The sequence below is a fragment of the Homo sapiens genome, chromosome 19, assembly GCF_000001405.40.
Source record: "Homo sapiens chromosome 19, GRCh38.p14 Primary Assembly".
Classification (NCBI taxonomy): Eukaryota; Metazoa; Chordata; class Mammalia; order Primates; family Hominidae; genus Homo; species Homo sapiens.
This window is the reverse complement of record NC_000019.10, coordinates 57991752-58010430: the sequence shown is the minus strand read 5'-3', so window position 1 is coordinate 58010430 and position 18679 is coordinate 57991752. Positions and strand designations below refer to the sequence as shown.

At 47.6% G+C, this 18679-nt stretch overlaps 1 protein-coding gene and 1 long non-coding RNA gene across 6 annotated transcripts in view, besides 3 other annotated features; one reads left to right on the top strand and one right to left on the bottom strand.

Annotated features, from left to right (window-relative positions):
• Positions 368-427: an enhancer, noted in NCBI's record as "active region_15177". NCBI's record gives its function as "activates an Ori minimal core promoter by ATAC-STARR-seq in GM12878 lymphoblastoid cells {active_cell/tissue: GM12878}" and the evidence as "EXISTENCE:reporter gene assay evidence [ECO:0000049][PMID:35858748]".
• Positions 438-487: an enhancer, noted in NCBI's record as "active region_15176". NCBI's record gives its function as "activates an Ori minimal core promoter by ATAC-STARR-seq in GM12878 lymphoblastoid cells {active_cell/tissue: GM12878}" and the evidence as "EXISTENCE:reporter gene assay evidence [ECO:0000049][PMID:35858748]".
• Positions 3225-7537, bottom strand: ZNF606-AS1 (ZNF606 antisense RNA 1). Its single transcript, NR_036508.1, has 4 exons — positions 7385-7537; positions 7095-7220; positions 5731-6048; positions 3225-4524 (listed from the first exon to the last, which is right to left on the bottom strand). It is a non-coding gene; the product is annotated as a ZNF606 antisense RNA 1 (long non-coding RNA).
• ZNF606 (zinc finger protein 606) overlaps positions 7085-18679 on the top strand; it is a 26294-nt gene continuing 14699 nt past the window's right edge. For 2 of the 5 annotated variants that reach the window (NM_001348022.3, NM_001348025.3), the window contains exons 1-4: positions 7611-8035; positions 9061-9142; positions 9692-9748; positions 10535-10623. In NM_001348022.3, the coding sequence (NP_001334951.1) occupies positions 9112-9142; positions 9692-9748; positions 10535-10623 (177 nt within the window). In that variant the 5' untranslated portion in view covers positions 7611-8035; positions 9061-9111. Of the gene's footprint in view, positions 8036-9060; positions 9143-9691; positions 9749-10534; positions 10624-18679 lie in introns of all 5 variants that reach the window. The other 3 variants (NM_025027.4, NM_001348024.3, NM_001348023.3) reach the window with 3 other exon arrangements.
• Positions 7260-7679: an enhancer, noted in NCBI's record as "active region_15175". NCBI's record gives its function as "activates an Ori minimal core promoter by ATAC-STARR-seq in GM12878 lymphoblastoid cells {active_cell/tissue: GM12878}" and the evidence as "EXISTENCE:reporter gene assay evidence [ECO:0000049][PMID:35858748]".

Below are 18679 nucleotides of genomic sequence, written 5' to 3'. Positions count from 1 at the left end.
GTCTTGACCTCCTGGGCTCAGGTGATCCTTCCACCGCAGCCTCCGGAGTAGCTGGGAAAACAGGTGGGCGGTAACCCCCCCCACGAATTATTTAAAGTTTTTTTAAGAGATCAGGCGGGAGGGCCATGTCTACCCATGCTGCCGGGGGTGGCGAAACCCCATGTCTACTAAAAATAGAAAAATTAGCCGGGCGTGGTAGCGTGCGCCTATGATCCCAGTTACTCAGGAGGCTGAGGCAGAATCGCTTGAACCTGGGGGGCGGAGGTTGCAGTGAGCCAAGATGGCACCATTGCACTCCAGCCTCCCATAATAGGTGCACCCAAGATGATGGTATGGCCCTGCCTCTGCCACCTCTCCATGCTGCCGGGGGCTCAAGCGATTCTGCCGCCTTGCCCTCCTAAAGTGCCGGGATTACAAGCGTGAGCCACCGCGCCCAGGCCTAGAGGTTTAGATCCACCTAGAGCAAGTGACTAAAGCGGGCGGGCAAGGTACTGCCGGTGGGTCTGGCCTGGTCGTCCTGGATTCGGCCAAGCCTGGATTCCACTGTAGCCACATGACCTAGGGGTCCAGGACCCGCTGGGCTGGTGTTCGGGGCGGCCTGGAGACTACACATCAGGGCGGCGCCACTACGCAAGCGCGGGTTACGTCATCGGCTGGGCGCCGAGCCCAAGCGGCGCGTTACCCAGGTAACCCTCGTGGACGCTGAGGCGCGCGGCTGTTGGCTGGAGCCAGCCTCTAGTCGCTCTGACAGGCTTCTGGTTTTCTGGTCCTCTGGTCTTTCTAGGCGGGACCGAATGAGGTGAGGCAGCCCAGGCCACAGGGTGCGCCACCATCGTCTGGTATTTTGATGCCAAAGAACGGGCAGCCAGACGAGCATCAGCGTCAGGGCGGAGAGGCGCTTGTGCCCCGGAGCCAGGATGCAGCGCCTGGGGAGAGTCATTGCCTCCTGCCGGCATCCCAAGCCCGCCCGCTTCTCCGGCCTAGAATGCGGGGTGAGTCTCCAATCCGTTTGGCCGTGGCACCTTTTCCACCACTGGGCCGCCGCTGCTTGGGCTGGGTGAAAGGTGCCGAGAGGAGCATGGGTGTGGAAGTCCTGTCAGCTAAGAAATAAAAGTTTACCTCAGGGCTCCAAGACAAAAAAACTTACATTACTCACTTCAAACATGTGCAGTTTATCTGCAGTGTGCAATTATACCACAATTAAGTTGATTAAAAAAACAATAGGTAGGATACTATTTTTAGGACCTAGATCTAGTTGGGATCTTGAAAGTAATACATAAAACACAAGCTATGAAAGAAAAAACATTTCTAAAGAATCTTTTTCTTCAAAAGACACCACGGATGAGGTAAAAGGCAAGTCCAGGCTGGGCACGGTGACTCACACCTGTAATCCCAGCACTTTGGAAGACCAAGGCGGGCGGATCACTTGAGGTCAGGAGTTTAAGACCAGCGTGGCCAACATGGCGAAACCCCATCTCTACTAAAAATAGAAAAATTAGCCAGGCGTGGTATCGCGCGCCTGTAACCCCAGTTACTCAGGAGGCTGAGGCAGAATCCCTTGAACCTGGGAGGCGGAGGTTGTAGTGAGCCAAGATGGCACCATTGCACTCCAGCCTCCCATAATAGGTGCATCCAAAATGATGGTGTGGCTCTGCCTCCGCTACCTCCCAGAAGAGAATAGGGTGCTGCCCGCAACACTGGGTAACTGGAGTGGGAGGGAGCTTGGGCCAGAAGGGAGCAGTATCTCCACACACTTGCAACTTACTTCCTCCCCATCAAGGCCCTTGGTGAATAGCTCTGTATTGAGAGGCCTCCTTTATTTCTTGACTCCTTCTGAACATTACAGGCTATATTGCCCCTTATGATGCAAAACCTTGAACCTACGGTCTGTTGGCTCTACCTTTAAAGTATCAGCATGTCCGCAATCCAGCCACTGATCACCAATCTGATCCGAGCGGCTATCATCTTCCACCTAATTACTACATTGGTTTCACACATGACTCTACTGCTTTCCTTGGTTACTCTCCATACAGAGGCTAGAGCTCATCAATGCTCTACTCAGAACCCTGCCAGAGCCCTCATGATGCCTTCAACTTTCTCTACCATCTGGCCCCCTTATTGCCTCTATGACCACTGTTGTTCCCGCAGCTGACTAGGCAGGCCCTCACACCAGGGCTTTTGTTCTAGCTCTTCCCTCCGATGTCTGCATCTCTTATTTTTATTTATTTATTTATTTAGACGGAGTCTTGCTCTGTTGCCTAGGCTAGAGTGCAGTGGCGCGATCTCGGCTCACTGCAAGCTCCGTCTCCCAGGTTCACGCCATTCTCCTGCCTCAGCCTCCCGAGTAGCTGGGACTACAGGAGCCCGTCACCACGCCTGGCTAATTTTTTGGATTTTAGTAGAGATGGGGTTTCACCATGTTAGCCAAGATGGTCTTGATCTCCTGACCTTGTGATCCGCCCGCCTTGGCCTCCCAAAGTGCTGGGATTACAGGCGTGAGGCACCGCGCCCAGCCATCTGCATCCCTTCTTTCCAGTCCTTGTTCAGATGTCACCTCAATGAGGTGACTCTGACTCACTCTTAGCACCCAATTTTATACGGCAACTTGCCCTTCCCATCTGGGCACTACATCACCTACTCTTTTTTCTTTCTTCCAAAGTTGTTGCCTTCTAACTACTCTTTAATTTACTTATGTTTATTGTTTATCTCGTGCTTCCGTAAGTGCAGTGTTTGTTTTTTTTCACTTTAGGGTCTGGCACAGAGCAGGTGCTTCATAAATGTTTGCTGATGATTGAGTGATGTATGATCCTTCTCTTGGGAAAGTCATTTCCTCCGCTGGTTTCCAGAGGATGAAGCACTTCTTGAGAGGCCTTCATCTTGCTGCTGTCTCCAGGGAAGGGGCAATTCTAAGGCAAAAACCCTCTCTCACTGGTCTCACTTGTCCCCCACCAGGGGGCAACAGCTTCATAGCCTCTCACTACTGGGCTGAGAAGTGGAAGCCTAAGGGAGCACCTTCCTCTCTGTTCCCTAGTGCTTCCAAATTCCCCAGTACCCAGTGACACCCAAGTGAGACAGTGGAGCTGGGCTTTTCTTCCAGCCTTCCTCTTCCTATTGCTTTTCTCCTCTTCTATTCCTCCTACCTTTTAATTCATCCAACCATTATCACGCAGGAGATACAGAAGCTGGGGCTACAAATGTGGAAGCAAAAGACACCCCCGTTTTTTCTTTCACATTTTAATTGAAAGACAGTGTAATGCCATTACAGTACACTAAGTATACAGCCTGATGATTTCTTAACACGCGTATACCTGTGTAACCACCACCCAGATCAAGATATAGAACATTTCCAGGCCCCAGAAGACTCCCTTGTACCTCTTTAGTCAATGCTGCCACCCCCAGAGGTAAGTACTTCTTTCATCATGGATTACTTGCCTGTTCTTGAACTTCATATAAATGGAATCATACAGTATTTATCACTATACCTGTGATAATGCAATATTGTTGTGTGGATATGTGGCTAATTATTATTTATTTATTTTTTTGAGACGGAGTTTTGCTCTTTTTGCCCATGCTGGAGTGCAATGGCGCAATCTCGGCTCAATGCAACCTCCACCTCCCGGGTTCAAGTGATTCTCCTGCCTCAGCCTCCCGAGTAGCTGGGATTACAGGCATGCGCCACCACCCCGGCTAATTTTGTATTTTAGTAGAGACGGGGGTTCTCCATGTTGGTCAGGCTGGTCTTGAACTCCCAACCTCAGGTGATCCACCTGCCTCAGCCTCCCAAAGTGCTGGGATTACAGGCATAAGCCACCGCGCCCAGCATGGCTAATTATTTTTATTGCTAAGTAGTAATCCATTAAATTGACGTATCAAAATTTCTTTATCCATTCTCTTGGTTACAGACATTTGGATTATCTCCTGGTTTGGACCGTCATAAATAATGCCACTGTGAGCATTCTTGTACATATCTTTTAGTGGACAGATGTTTGCCTTTCTTTTGAACAAACAGGAGTAGAATCTCTAGGTCATAGTACAGGTTTATGTATAATTTTATAAGAAATTGTCAAACTTTTTTCCAAAGTGACTGTACCACATTATACTCCCATCAGCAGGGTATGAGAATTCCAGTTGGCACCATGTCGTCCCATTTGATGCTGTATTTTTATTTTTGGTCATTCTAGAGGATGTGTAGTGGCAATGTCCTTTATTTTAGGATAAGAATCAGCAATAATAAGAAAAGAATCTATGTAGCAATTACCTTGCCCTTTGTTTATACAGAACAGTTCCAGCTCCTTTACTGGACTAAGATCGAAAACCCCAACTCTCATTGCATTTACCTTACCCCTTCCTATCTCGGGGGTTGTCTTAGTCCATTTGTGCTGCTGTAACAGAATAGCTGAGACTGCGTAATTTACAAAGAAATGTACTGCCTTACGGTCTGGAGGTTGGGAAGTCCAACATCAAGGTGCTCACATATTTGGCGATGATGAGTTCAAGATGGTGCCTTGGACACTGCATCCTCACCTGACAGAAGGTAAAGGGCAGGGTGGTGGAGGGTGGGGGTGGGGGGAGAGAAAGAAAGAGAGAGAGAGAAAGAGAATGCAAGCACATGCAGAATCTCTCCATGAACCTTTTACAATGGCATTGTTGACGAAGAGTCAAACTCTGTAAAATATTTGAAGAGATTTACTCTGAGCCAAATATGGTGACCAGTGGCCCCTGACGCAGCTCTCAGGAGATCCTGAGGACATGCCCAGGGTGGTTAGGGTTCAGCTTGCTTTTATACATCTTAGGGAGACATGAGACATCAATCAATACATATAAGATGTATACTGGTACAGAAAGTTTCCAGGTTATAGGCAGATTTAAAGATTTCTGATTGCCAATTGATTTAAAGAGTTATTGTCAATAGAAAGGAATGTCTGGGGTTGTGGAACTCAAGGTTTTACCAAGCAGATGAAACCTCCGGAGATAACAGACTGTAAATGTTTCTTATCAGACTTAAAGAGTCTGTTCTATCACTAATTCTAGAAGGGAGGAGGGTATAATGAGGCAAGTCCAGCTTCTGCTTCCCATCATGGCCCGAACTCATTTTTCAAATTAACTTTGGAATGCCCTTGGCTGAGAGGAGGGGTCTATTCATATGGTTGGGGGGTGGGGGGCTTAGAATTTTATTTTTTGGTTTACAACATTAATCCATTCATGACAGCAGAGCCTTATGACCTCCATAAATCCCATTAGACCCTGCCTCCCAACACTACTGCACTGGGGAGTAAGTTTCAACATGAATTTTGGAGAGGATAAAAACATTCAAATCATAGCAGGGGTGTTTTTCTTCATCTGGTTTCCTGACACCTTTAGGTCAAAGGTATCTCTCTCATTTGAGTTCCCTCTCAAAAGTGAACAGAGCTACCTCATCTCTCTTTAGAATATGAATTCTAGTCTTATTTTATATGAACATTGAGGTTTGTGTAGCAGGTATTTGGTGATTGCATATCTTAAAACTTGGCTTCTGTACTGTATGAGACTATCAGTTACGATACGAAGAAAATAAAAAGAGAGTAATACAATTGAGAATTAGGGAGATGAGTCACAGCTGGCTGTTACCAGGATGTGACATCTGTGCTGTGATCTGGATGAAAAAAAGAAAACCCTGGGGCTGTACAAGGAAGAAGATTCCAGGAAGAGGAAACAATACGTACAAAGGCCCTGAAGCAGGAATGGACTTACCCTGTTTGAGGAGTGGCTGGGGTCCAGAAATGGGCAGGAATGACAGGAGATGAGCTTGAGGGACTGAGGTGGGGTGTGGGATAGGACAGAGGCCAGTCCTGCTGAGTTTTCTAAGCTGTGAGCTGGAATTTGGATTTTACTTTAATTACTTGGGAAGCCAGTGCAGAATGTGAGGCAAGGACCTGATGTGAGATCCTAAAAGTGCCCTTGGCTGCCTGCTGGAGGATGAGCTGTAGGGGGCTGGAGTGGAAGTGGAGAGACACTCTCTTCTTACTTCTGTCACTCTTCCTTCTCCAGCCTCTCTTTCTCTGCTTGATCCTGAGATGGAAATTGTGGCTGTACCATCCATAGATTGCTTTCCTCTCAGTGCCCACTCTGACTGGGTTCACCTTCCTGCCAGCTGGGGCCTGTCCCAACACCTTGCCCCTTCCACCTTACCTCTCTCATGGTCCTCTCCCTCGAATTCAGCCTGTCCTACTTGAAATTTTCCTCTCCCTTGAATTCAGCCTGTCCTACTTGAACTTTTCCTCTCCCTCTGAAAGGGCTACTCCCCTTTGCCCACCCACAGTGAGTGCCAACACCACCCAACAACAAAAGCCCAACCCACAGGCCAGCTTTTTAAAATGATCCTCCATTACTAGTGGAAATATCTTCAAAATCTCTCTTGCCCACTGCTCACTCAAGTCTAGCTTCCTAAATGGCCATGCTTTCTTTGGTATCACCACCTACAGTCCCTCAGTCCCTTTTTTTGAGACAGAGTCTTGCCCTGCTGCCCAGGCTGGAGTGCAATGGCTTGATCTCGGCTTACTGTAGCCTCCGCTTCCCGGGTTCAAGCGATTCTCCTGCCTCAGCCTCCCAAGTAGCTGGGTACAGGTGCCCTCCACCAAGCCCGGCTAATTTTTGGTATTTTTAGTAGAGACGAGGTTTTATCATGTTGCCCAGACTGGTCTCGGAACTCCTGACCTCAGGCGATCCACCTGCCTTGGCCTCCCAAAGTGCTGGGATTACAGCTGTGAGCCACCGCGCCCGGCCCGTTTTTGTTTGTTTTAATGCCGGGTCTTGCTCTGTTGCCCAGGCTGAAGTGCAGTGGTGCGATCATAGCTCACTGCAACCTTGACCTCCCAGGCTCAAGCAATCCTTCCACCGCAACCTCCTAAGTAGCGGGGACTACAGGCGCGCGCCATCACACCGGGCTAATTTTTGTATTTTTTTTGTAGAGATGTGGTCTCGCTATGTTGCCCAGGGTGGTGTCGAACTCCTGAACTCAACTGATCCTCCCGCCACAGCTTCCCGAAGTGCTGGGACTACAGGAATGAGCCACCGCTCCCGAACCGCTCCATGCATATCGATAGAGGAAAACTCACAGGGTGCGTCGCTGGTAACCCATGCTCCCATAAAGCCTGGCCTCTGGAAAGAGACTTGGGAACGAGCCCTGACGTTCTCAGCCGTCGAGCTTCACAGAGAAGGGTAGCTCGAATTAGGTTCCTTATCTTAAAGAGAATAACAGCAGTCACTTTCTCACAATCTTGCGAACGCCAAATGGAAGGATCCCTCGAGAGCGCTGAGAACTCGCCGAGCTCCTCCCGGGAAACCCGGTACCACGAGGCGCCATTTTGCGGATGGGCAAACCGAGGCCCGCGGGGCCGCGACTTACCCAGGCCTTTTTGCAGTGGGAGGCGACGGTGGAGGAGGGTGGTCTGGGACCGGGACAACAAAGTCCATCCTGCCGCCGGCTTCGACGCAGGTGCCAGAAAGGTCCCAACCCCGCCCAGGCAGGGCGAGGCGGCGCGGCCCAGGAACCTGTCATGGCGGCGCCGCTGCCCGACGCCGGAAGTGCCCGCCTGGAACTACAGCTCCCAGCAGACCCCGCGGCGCGCTCCGGTCGACGCCGGGGAAGCAGCCGCCATTGTCCGCGGCTGAGGTGAGGCCTTTGCTCAGGCTGTGGGGCCGCCGTAGCTGCGGGGCTTGGGGGGTCAGGAGAGCCGGCTGGGAGAGGCGGCGTCAGGGTGGGTCCTGCGCCTGCCCTTTCCGCGCCGGCTTTGCGCCGTCGTTGCCGTCGGTTCTCCAGCCAGCAGCCTGCCTCCGGCCTCCCGCCTCCGGGCGTTCTTCGTTTTCTGGTCGGACGGGCCTGGGTGAACTCTGCTGCACGTCGGCTCCGCGGGCCTTTGTCCCCGAGGCCGCGCCGGGAGCTCCCAAGCGCACTCCTGGGCCGGACCTCGGCGCGGGACAAAAGCCAAACGCCCCAGGCGGGCAGACCCCGATCCTGCTGCGCCGCCTTCAAGGGGGACCGCCGGCCGCGAGCCAGGTGAGGCCGGGACGAGCTTTTGCAGCGTCGCGGCCGCGTCGGTCTTGAGGAGGAAATTTGGGTCGGGAGCTCTGGAAGCAGGTGATAAGGATGCTTCTGAGGCCATTGATGGGACGAATAACCCCGTTCGTTCCCCAGCCGTCGTTTCTCCCCCTGCCAGTTCACACAAAGCACTGTGAAGGACGTCAGACCTGGGTTGGAAACAGCTCCGGGTTCCCTTAAACATGCAGTGACGGCGGCGGTCACTGTCAAGTTGCAAATAATGGTGCAAAGTACGGTTTGCATTCTGCGTTTTCGCGCTGATTCCGGTGCTCCTGAGGCCCACTGTGTGTTCTAGTGCTTTATACACATACCCAGGAATCCATTCGAGAGGTTGCTGACTTGTACAAAGATCTGGAACCTGAGGAGTTAGGGGTCTGGGCGCCAGGCCCATCTCTAAGTCCTCCACACACACACAAGCTTAGGCTTAGTAAATCTTGGAGGTGAATTTTTTTTGGAGGTGGGATTAAATTTGCATAACATAATGTTCACTTTAAGCACTTAAAAGTGTGCAATTCACCGGTTTTATTGTATATTAATAAAGTTGTGCAATCATCCCCATTATCTAATTTTAGAACATTTCATCACCCCACAAAGAAACCCTTGTTCCCCTTAAGCAGTCACTCCCCATTTCATTTTTCCCCCAGCTCTAGGCAACCACTAATATATGAGGATTGCAAGTTGATTTTACAATAATTGTCAGATTAATCCAAAAGTTCCATCTGTGTTGTGACTGGCTGTCTCTTGGGAATAGCTGACAAATTTGTACCCTCTCATTCAGGATCATGCTCTTTTTTCCAGCTTATGCAAATTACCTTTCATTTCTCTCCAGGAATTGTGTTACTTTTTTGACATGTAAATTCTCTTTTCTTACGATGCTCCTTACAAGTTTTTTTGTTGCTTCGGTGGATGGATTCCCTTCTTTGTTCCCACTTGGTCTTCTGTGAGAAAGGACTAGTTTTGTCTTTTTTCACTTTTGTCACTAGGTTGGGATTTGCTGTGTTCCTGGGCAGGTGCCTGGTCAATCAGTCCTCGGGATGGCAGCCATCAACCCGTGGGCCTCCTGGGGTGAGTCCAAGTTGTGTTTCTCCTGGGCCTCCCCTATCATTAGCTGCTGCAGTCATGGGTCAGAGCTGGTGATGGGCTGAGGACTTTTGAGGATGGAAGGGGGTCTGTCTATCTTGGTACAAAATTAGAACTGATTGGTGGTAAAGGAGGAAAATTGTTGGCATAAAAGACACTAACTTTTATGTTTTATAGTCATCTCCTGAGAGGTGTCATTAGTTTTAAGGGATTTTTCTGGTGGTTTGTGGGGTTTCCTAAACAACAGTGATACATATAATAAAATATTGTCTCTACTGCTCTCATATATATTTTTACCTTTATTGTTTTTACTTATATAGCATTGGTTGGTAATTTTAAAACGGTGTTAATTAATAGTGACTCACCTGTGCATTGCCTGTGTGAATCCAGCTTATGTTGCATTTTTTTTACACACCCTTGGGCTCTGTTTATGGAATTTTGTAGTGCCCATTAGCGAGTCAGCCTCCTCTTGTATTTTGTCGCCTTGAATCACTAGGTTTGGTGTCACAGTCCTAACCTGATCCTTCTGTGCAGGTGCCCTTACGGACCAATCTTGGGGGATGACAGCTGTTGACCCATGGGCCTCCTGGGGTGAGTCAAGAGCCTGGTCAGCTGTGGGCTGCCATATTGTGGCCTCTGGCTGTAGTGCTCTGCCACAGCTGGGGAATAGAATGGGGACCAGGTGGGGCTTTAGGGCAGGTGGTCCAGATCTGTCTCTGTGCAGAGCTGGAACAAGGAGGAATCAGAAAACTAGTGGCCAGGCGTGGTGACTCACGCCTACAGCACTTTGGGAGGCCGAGGCGAGTGGATCACGAGGTCAGGAGATCGAGACCATCCTGGCTAACACGGTGAAACCCCGTCTCTACTAAAACAAAATACAAAAAATTAGCTGGGCGTGGTGGTGGGCGCCTGTAGTCCCAGCTGCTCGGGAGGCTGAGGCAGGAGAATGGCGTGAAGCCAGGAGGCGGAGCGTGCAGTGAGCCAAGATCGTGCCACTGCACTCCAGCCTGGGCGACAGAGCGAGACTCAGTCTCAAAAAAAAAAAGAAAACCAGTGAGCAGTAAGGTGATGGTGACATCTCAAGATGCATGAGAATTCATGTGTGGCCGTTTAGGGTTCAGGCCCAGGAAGGTTGTGACCAGACACTGCTTCTCAGAGATGGTACCCAATAGCACAGGGGGGGCCAATGAGAGATTCATGTGTTTAGGTACTTTCCTAACCTTCTCTGAGCCCTAATTCCTTCATCTATAGAATGAGGAAGTGGGTCTCTTTCCTCATTCAAGGGGGAGGGGCAGGGGCTGGTTCTCAGCCCCCCAGAAGAAAAGGTGAGCTCCTGGCAGCGAGAGCTGCCTCCATGACTTTTTTCTCGTTTCCTAGCTCTGTGTCCTCAGTATCCTGCCTGGCACGTGGAGGGAAGCCTGGAGGAGGGGAGGAGGGCCACTGGGCTCCCAGCAGCCCAGGTTCAGGTGAGATGGGGCTGTCCTGTTCCCAGAGGATGATGTCCAGGTTATCCCTGGTCATCCCAGTTGATGCGGCTCTCCAGTTTACAACAGTTGGAGTTTGGGTAGGGAAGGAAGCAACTGGAAGTTAATCCTTCCTGAGAGCAGGTAGGGAGAATTAGGCCGTTTTTAGTGATTCGGAGCCTTAGTGTCAACCAGTCTGTCCACAGTACTGAGCTCCAACTCTCCCTGGCTTGTTGTGGGGCATGAAGGGCAGCCCTTTTGGCTGGCAGCCCCACTTCTCTATTGCCACCTTCACTCATGTCTTTAGCACCCGATTTAGGCTGATGCTGTGCAGTGCCTGCTGTGCCTGCTGTGAAGGGAACAAGGACAGGTGTGAGCCTTCACCCTGAGGAGCTCCCAGACCCTTTTCCAGGGTTATTCACTCAGCTAAGGAGATCTCACGGCCTACCTGGAGCCACACGTGCAGTGTGGGACAGGAGAAACCTGAGACGGGTAGGGTAGGCCTGCAGGAGCACAGTCACCTGATGAGTCGGGAGATGGGACAGAGTCTGTGTGGAGCTCAGCTTTTACTGTGGAGGGGAAGGCTGCTTCGTAGACCTGGGCCAAGAGGTGAAAAGAATGCATCAGCCAGTTGGGCACAGCCTGGTGAGTGGGGGTCTGGCCTCCTGCAGCACCACAGGGGTCAGGGGTGGCAGGCAGCACACTGTGTGACCAGTGTTTGAGTGAGACTGACTCCAGTTAGATTTTAGGCTGGAGAGGCCAGGCCCTGAATGCTTGCTGCAGAACCTCAGAAGTCTTGGGATCAGGCGGCACCAGGGTCCAAAATGTGGTGATGGGTGTGGAAAGAAGAGGGCTGTGGGAAGCAGGCTGGTGTTTCAGGCTTCAGTCTGACCAGGGCCTTGGAGCTATGGAGGAGAGGTATAAGGAAATCAAAGCAGGGGCCTTTGTGATTATGGGGACAGGGTGGCTCCTGAGAGAAATAGGACAATGGAGTTACTTAGGAAAGGTGTCATCTCTCTGCCGTCCTCCTGCCCAGCCTCCTCACCAGATGCAGCCACTTAAAAAAATTTTTATAATAGCTTTATTGAGATGGTACTGACATATTATAAAGTTTATCCTTTTAAAGTGTGTAATTCAGTGGTTTCTCGTATAGTCACAGAATTGTGCAACAATCACCAGTATCTAATTCTAGAACATTTTCATCACCCTAAAAAGAAATCCTGTACCCATTAGTAGTCACTCCCTGTTTCCCCTACTCCCTCCCAACCACTAGTGTACTTTCTGTCTCTATGAATTTGCCTAGTCTGGACATTTCATAAAAATGGAATCATAATATGGCACAGCCTTTTTTGTCTGGCTTTTTTCACTTAGCATAATGTTTGCCTTCTCAAGAGTTACCCATATTGTAGCATTGTGTCAATATTTCTTTTAATGTAATGTAATTACAATGTAAATGTAATAAGTGTAATTACAATGTAATTACATTGTAAAAAATGACTGAGGCAGCCATTTTTAACTTCCTGTTTTCAGTTTTTTAGAGTTGTCTCTGTATTTCTAAATGGGAGATTTTTTAAATTGGTTTTTTCCTAATTCATTAAAGTTATATTTACTCTGTTAACTCCCTGCTATGAAAGATGAAGAAAAAGAGTTTCATTACTTATTTTTAGGTCTTTTATTTTTAAGTTAAGATAATGAATCAAGCAGATGTGAGATACTTGGATATAAAACAAGATTTAAAAATGATGTCTCTACTTTGTGCCTCCCCCTCAAATTAAAAAATATTATTGAAACCGCCCACAGTTTCAAATCTGGTGGGTGAAGTCCATCATAAGTATGCTGTTCCCACTTGGCAGTGTTGCTATCCCTGGTCCAGGTGAGATGGGAAGCAGAAGGGCCTGAACCATATGATGCAAGGTGATTGTTGCCTGGCATCAGAACTTGGGCAACTATGAGGTTTGCTGCTCTTACAATGTACAGTCATTATTAAATCCTAAGACAGAATAATCAGTAGTGAAGCTAGACTAGCCTGAAAGATGGCCCCTGAATCAGACTCTGAGGAGTAGAAGTTAGCTGTAATAAAACACTGCGAAGAAGCCCTGTTAACCACCATGCTACACTCTGCTGTTAATTTATGCTAGGCTTTCTGAGAATTATCTAAGTTAATGCTGAGAAAATAAAACAGAATTAAAAATAACAACACCCTCCAATGTCTGAAGAGTTGTGATTTCTGATAACATGCTCCTGGCTGGCCCCCCTCCCCACACTCTGGATTTTTTCCTGTGGGAAACTCGGATTTGACTGCTGTGTGTTTTTAACTAAGTGAGATCTTCAGGAATGCAAAAGAACCCTGTGTCCCTTTATTGTTCCCTCCAAGTTAAGTATTTATTGAAATAAAGCATTTATCTGGTGAAAACATCAAATGCTGTCATCCCTCATTATCTGAATAGTCCATTCATGGAAGTATGTTGAATAGTGAGGTTTTAACTACAGAAGCCCAGATCCCGTTATTTCTAGGAATAGGGGAAAATAATAATTGTAATGATAATATCTCATTTCATCTAAAAAACCCCAACCAGCCTTTCCAAATACGGAAGCATTCAAACCCCTCTGTTAACAGTCCACCTAGGATATCTGCATAACAAACATTATGTACATAAAACACCAATAATAGTCTGCACCCATGCTTGGTCAGACTTGAGGATGTGCACAATCTATTTATGTTTTCCTTCTCTGCAATGAAATCTACCACAGAAGCCATCTGAATTGCCCCAGGTTCCTTGAAGGGGGAGCAGTTGGGCAAGATCTGTCAGCAAACATCTGAGACCCAGCTCAGCACCTTTGGTCTCTCCTTCAGACTCTCAAAGGGTTTAAATGTGTGGCTGGTTTGTTAGCAGATTCCATGAAGTGCTTAGAATGCCTAGATAAATGCTTATATGTGTGTACAAAGTGATGTGTGCAAGAATGTTTATGAGAATTTGGGTGAAACACTTTTGCAAGTCATCCTAGGATGTGATTGGAAAATACAAATGCAGCTCATGAGGGTGACCTGTGGACCAGAAGGGTTTGCTCCTCCCTGTAGCAGTACTCTTCTCTCTTTAGCACCCTTTCCCCTTAGCATCAGGCAACAGTGAAACCTGCATTTCCTCTCCTACCCTTGAAGGGTCCCTCTCATCTCCACAGCCTGTGAGACTAGGTTCCTGTCTTCCACCATCTCTTCCTTCTGGCCTTTTGGTTTTGCATTTTCCTTTGCAATTCTAGGCTGAAGGTGTTTACTGTGTCCCCTTACCAGCCATTTATTTATTTTTATTTTTGAGGCAGAGTCTCATTGCGTTGTCCATACTGGAGTGCAGTGGGACGATCTTGGCTTGATGCAGCCTCCCCTCCCGGGTTCAAGGGATTCTCATGCCTCAACCTCCCGAGTAGCTGAGATTACAGGTGTGTGCCACCACACTGGCTAATTTTTGTATTTTTAATCGAGACAGGGTTTCACCATGTTGGTCAGACTGGCCTCAAACTTCTGACCTCAGGTGATTTGCCTGCCTTGCCCTCTCAAAATGCTGGGATTACAGGCGTGAGCCATTGTGCCCAGTCCCCTTACCATCCTTGAGGTGAGGCCTCCATGATTTGTGGGCCCAGACATGGTTACATATTCAGCTGGGGGCAGCTCTTTTTTTCTTCCTGTTTTTTAGCCCATGGGGCTTACAGTTTGAAAATGTCCCCTTTTTCATTTCTAAATTTTTAAAAATTTATTTTAGTTTTAATTTTGGCACATTTCATAATTACAGAGAAGTGTAAAAAGGAAGCAAATGGCATCACCATCAGTGAACAATATTACTGTTTTGTCGTATTTGTTGTTTTTCTTCTTTTACTCTTTGTCTTTCCACCATTTCTCAGGCAACCACTCATGGATTCAGTTTGTACACAGCTAATTCATTTTCATATGCATACATAGATGATAAACTATATAGACATAGACAGTCTTTTTCTTTTTTTTGAGACAGTCACACTGCATTGCCCATACTGGAGTGCAGTGGCATGATCTCAGCTCACTGCAGTCTCCGCCTCCCGGGTTCAAAGGATTCTTGTGCTTCAGCCTCCCAAGTAGCTAGGATTGCAGGCGTGTGCCACCATATCTGGCTAATTTTTGTATTTTTAGTAGAGGTGGGGTTTTGTCATATTGGGCAGGCTAGTCTCAAACTCCTGTCCTCAGTGATCTGCCTGCCTCAAAGTGCTGGGATTATAGGTGTGAGCCACTGCACCCAGCCCAACAATCTATTTTTTTTCCCAATGATTTTTTTCTATATGTAGTTTTCCTATAGTTTTCTTTTTTCAACTTTGAGGTCCATCCATGTTGATAGATACAGAGAAGTCAGGCTTGTTCCTTTTGCGCTGCCGAGTGTATCCATTAGAGAAGTGCACCTCTGTGTTCATAGTTTCTTTTATGGGCAGGTTTATAAGTTCCTCTTTCCCCCATTGTTTTTGCTGCTCCAGTGAAAGCTGTGTGAACATTCCTGTGACTTCACTTTGTGCACGTGTTTATGTAGTTTTTATCTAGGCATACCCCTAGAAGCAGAATTGTACCTGGTTTTAGGTATGTACTTTTTTTTTTTTTTTTTTTTTTGAGTCAGAGTCTCATTCTGTTGCCCAGGCTGCAGTGCAGTGGTGCCATCTCAGCTCACTGCAACCTTGCCTCGCGGGTTCAAGTGATTCTCCTGCCTCAGCCTCCCAAGTAGCTGGGAGTACAGGTGCATGCCACCACGCCCAGCTAATTTTTTTATTTTTAGTAGAGGCAGGGTTTCACCATGTTGGCCAGGATGGTCTCAATGGTCTCCATCTCTTGACCTCGTGATTCACCTGCCTCGGCCTCCCAAAGTGCTGAGATTACAGGCATGAGCCACCATGCCCGGCTAGGTATATACTTTCAGTGTTACTAGTGCTGCCGCATGTCTCTACAAGGGGGCGAAGCTACTTGTCAGTCTCCCCACTCTGGGAGAAAATACCCCTTTTCCTGCATGTTTGTCGACACTTGACATTATCAGGTCTTTTAAATGTTTGCTTACCTCAGGACCAGAAAGGTATATTGCATTCCTTTAATGTGCATCTTCTTGATTGCTAGTGAGCTTAAGTACCTTTTGATGTCTTTATTGGCCATCTGTATTTCCTTCTCTCTTTGTTTCTCTTCCCCCATCCCTAGATTTCTAGGGACTGACTTTAATATAGGTATTTCACATGCATTCTGAATCCTAATTCTTTATCACATATCAACTAACTCCTCCCAGTCTGTAGCTTGTCTTAACTGGTGGTGTCTTATCAGTCAGATATTTGAATGTTGGTATGTTTTTGTCAAATGTGTCTATCTTTGTTTATGGCTAGTGTTTCTGTGTGTCTTATTTTAAGAAGTCTTGTGTTATTTAAAAAGTAATAATTCCCTCTTGTCCTTTTCCTTTAGGTTCTCTTTCTGGGCTCTTCTGTTAGCTGCTGGACCTCCTGAACAAATTGCCGTGTCTCTGATCTCTCTATATTCCATGTCCTTTTCTTGGTGGGGGTTGGGGGCCTGATGATCATGTTCTCACCACAGCAGAACTCTCTAGGGCCTCCTGAACTAGTTGCTGTGTCTTCTGTTCTTTTCTTAGTCTGTGAAGGCTTTCCTATTCTCTCAGCCTCTCTTGTAGCATCCTGTCCCACTTTATACTGAAATCACTCTGGTCTGAGAATCTGAGAATAGGAATTAACAGGTCTTTGAAAGTTGAATGTGGCTGTTGTCTGGATTCTCTGGCCTTGTGGCTACTTAGTTCAGTCGCTTTATCTGTGCATCAGGTGTTTCTCATGTCCAGGAGACGTCTGGTCTGTGTGTGTTTCTCAGGGCAGGGCTGTGAGGCTGGAAGTCCTGTTCTACTTCAGCTGCATAGATCTGATTCATGATTGGTGCCTTCCACTCCGCTCTGTGCTCCTGGTGAGGCATGCCCTGGGTTTCGTGGGCCTGCATGGGCCAGGGTCAGCTGGTCAGTTCTGCTTCCAGTTTCATAGATATAGAGCTGTGAGGCCACAGACTCCCTTCTCTTCCCCACCTGGTGGGACTGAAGAGGTCTCCACTCACCTGGGCAGCCTGAGAACCTAGCCGCGGTCTCAAGTCTGAGGAGGCTCCTGGGACTTTTGCCCGTGTATAAGTACATGGCTGCTGGCAGTACTACCCACAGGCACTTGCAAAGCTGTGCGAGTGCAGACTTTCACCTGCCCTGTTTTCAGCCTGACTCACTCCTGCCTCTCCCAGAGTCCTCTTGCAGGAAGCACCTGCTTCACCGTGGTGCCTCCTAGTGTGGGGCTGGAATCGCTTCTAGTCTAGTTGGTCAGCCTTACCTTCATCTATCTGTTCTGCCTCTTGGAGGAATAAGTGGAATTCAAGGTGCTGACGCCCCCATTTTTTTTCACTGGCTGGGTTATTTCTTTAACGTTCTTTAAAAAAAAAGCCAACTGTTTATTTAGGAGATTTTTGAACCCCAAAGTAGAAGATGAACCCTGTATTAGTTTAGTTTTATGTCTTAGTTTAATGTTGCTATTGTAATAGACTACCACAGACTTTATAGCTTAGAACAACATGAATTTATTCTACTGTTCTGCAGCTCAGAAGTCTAAAATGGGTCTGCAGGGCTGTGTTTCTTCTGGAGGCTCAAGGGGAGACTGCTTCCTGACTCATGCCCTGTCCTCCATCTGCAAAGTACATCACTCTGACCCCTGCTTGCGTCATATCTCCTGTGACTCTGACTCCTGCCTCCCTCTCTCACTGATAAGGACTTTGGTGATTACACTGGGCCACCTGGATAATCCAGGGTAATCCCTCTAAAGATTCTTAATTATATCTGTAAAGTTCCTTTTATCATTAAGATAACAGTCACAGGTTCTAGGATTAGGACATGGGCATCCTTTGGGGGGTGTTATTCAGCCTGCTGCAAGCACCCATGTTGACCAGCTTCAGCAGCTGTCAGCTTTCCACTTTCTGCATTTCTTTTCATCTATTCCAACACAACCTTTTTTAAACTGGAGGATTTGAAAGCAAATCTCAGAATTGTATCATTTCACCTGTGAGTGTTTCTGTGTATCTAAGAGATATGTACCCTTAAGGAAGAAACCACAATACCTTTATCATACTCAGCAAATTACCAATAATTCCTCAATGTCACCTGATATCCAGTTCATATTGTTTTCTCTATGTGTCTCTAAAATATGTTTTTACAGTTGTTGGTTTGTTCAAATCAGGATCCAAACAAGGCCCACACACTGCACATGCTTCATATGCTGAAGAAACTAGGTCACTGGTCTTGTTGGTTTGCCTGATTTTTGCCTTCATGATGTCATTGAATAAGTTCCTCCATCCCCTCGTCTCCTGTTAGCTAGTATTTGGACTAGAGGCCTGAGTAGATTCATTTGGTATTTTTGATAAGAATACTTCATAGGTGGTGCTGGGTTCTTCATACTGCATTGCATCAGTGGGCACATGGTGTCTGGTTGTCCCATCTTCAGGTATGATGGGTTAGTGGGTGCAGGTATTGTCAGACTGACCCCTCCATTATAAAGCTCCCTGTCTGCCTTTCACCTGCAGCTGAGCAGTCATTGATGGTCATTGCCACTGTCCACTGTTTTATTAGGGACTGCAGAACTGCTCCAATGATTTCATTCCTCTTGTGTTTATTAGATGTAATTCCTCTATTTTTGAACATATAATGATTCCATTGGGGTCTTGGGAGGGGTGGGAAGTGAATTTGTGGCTTAGTCTACCAGCTGGTCAGCCATTAGGGTGTGGGTTTGCACCTTGTTAAGTGTAGGTGAACATTGAAGCCATCTAAGAAGGTGCCACCCCAGGGAGGTTAGGATGTGTAAGACAAGCACAGGGTCAGAGGCACCCTGGGCCATCAGCACAGCTGCCTAGCTGGTTCCCCAGGTGCCATTGCTCTGTGAAAGTGCATCAAGCATAGGTTTTGTGCACTTCTGTGGCCATATTACATTTATTTATTTATTTATTTATTTATTTATTTTGAGACAGAGTTTCACTCTGTCGCCCAGG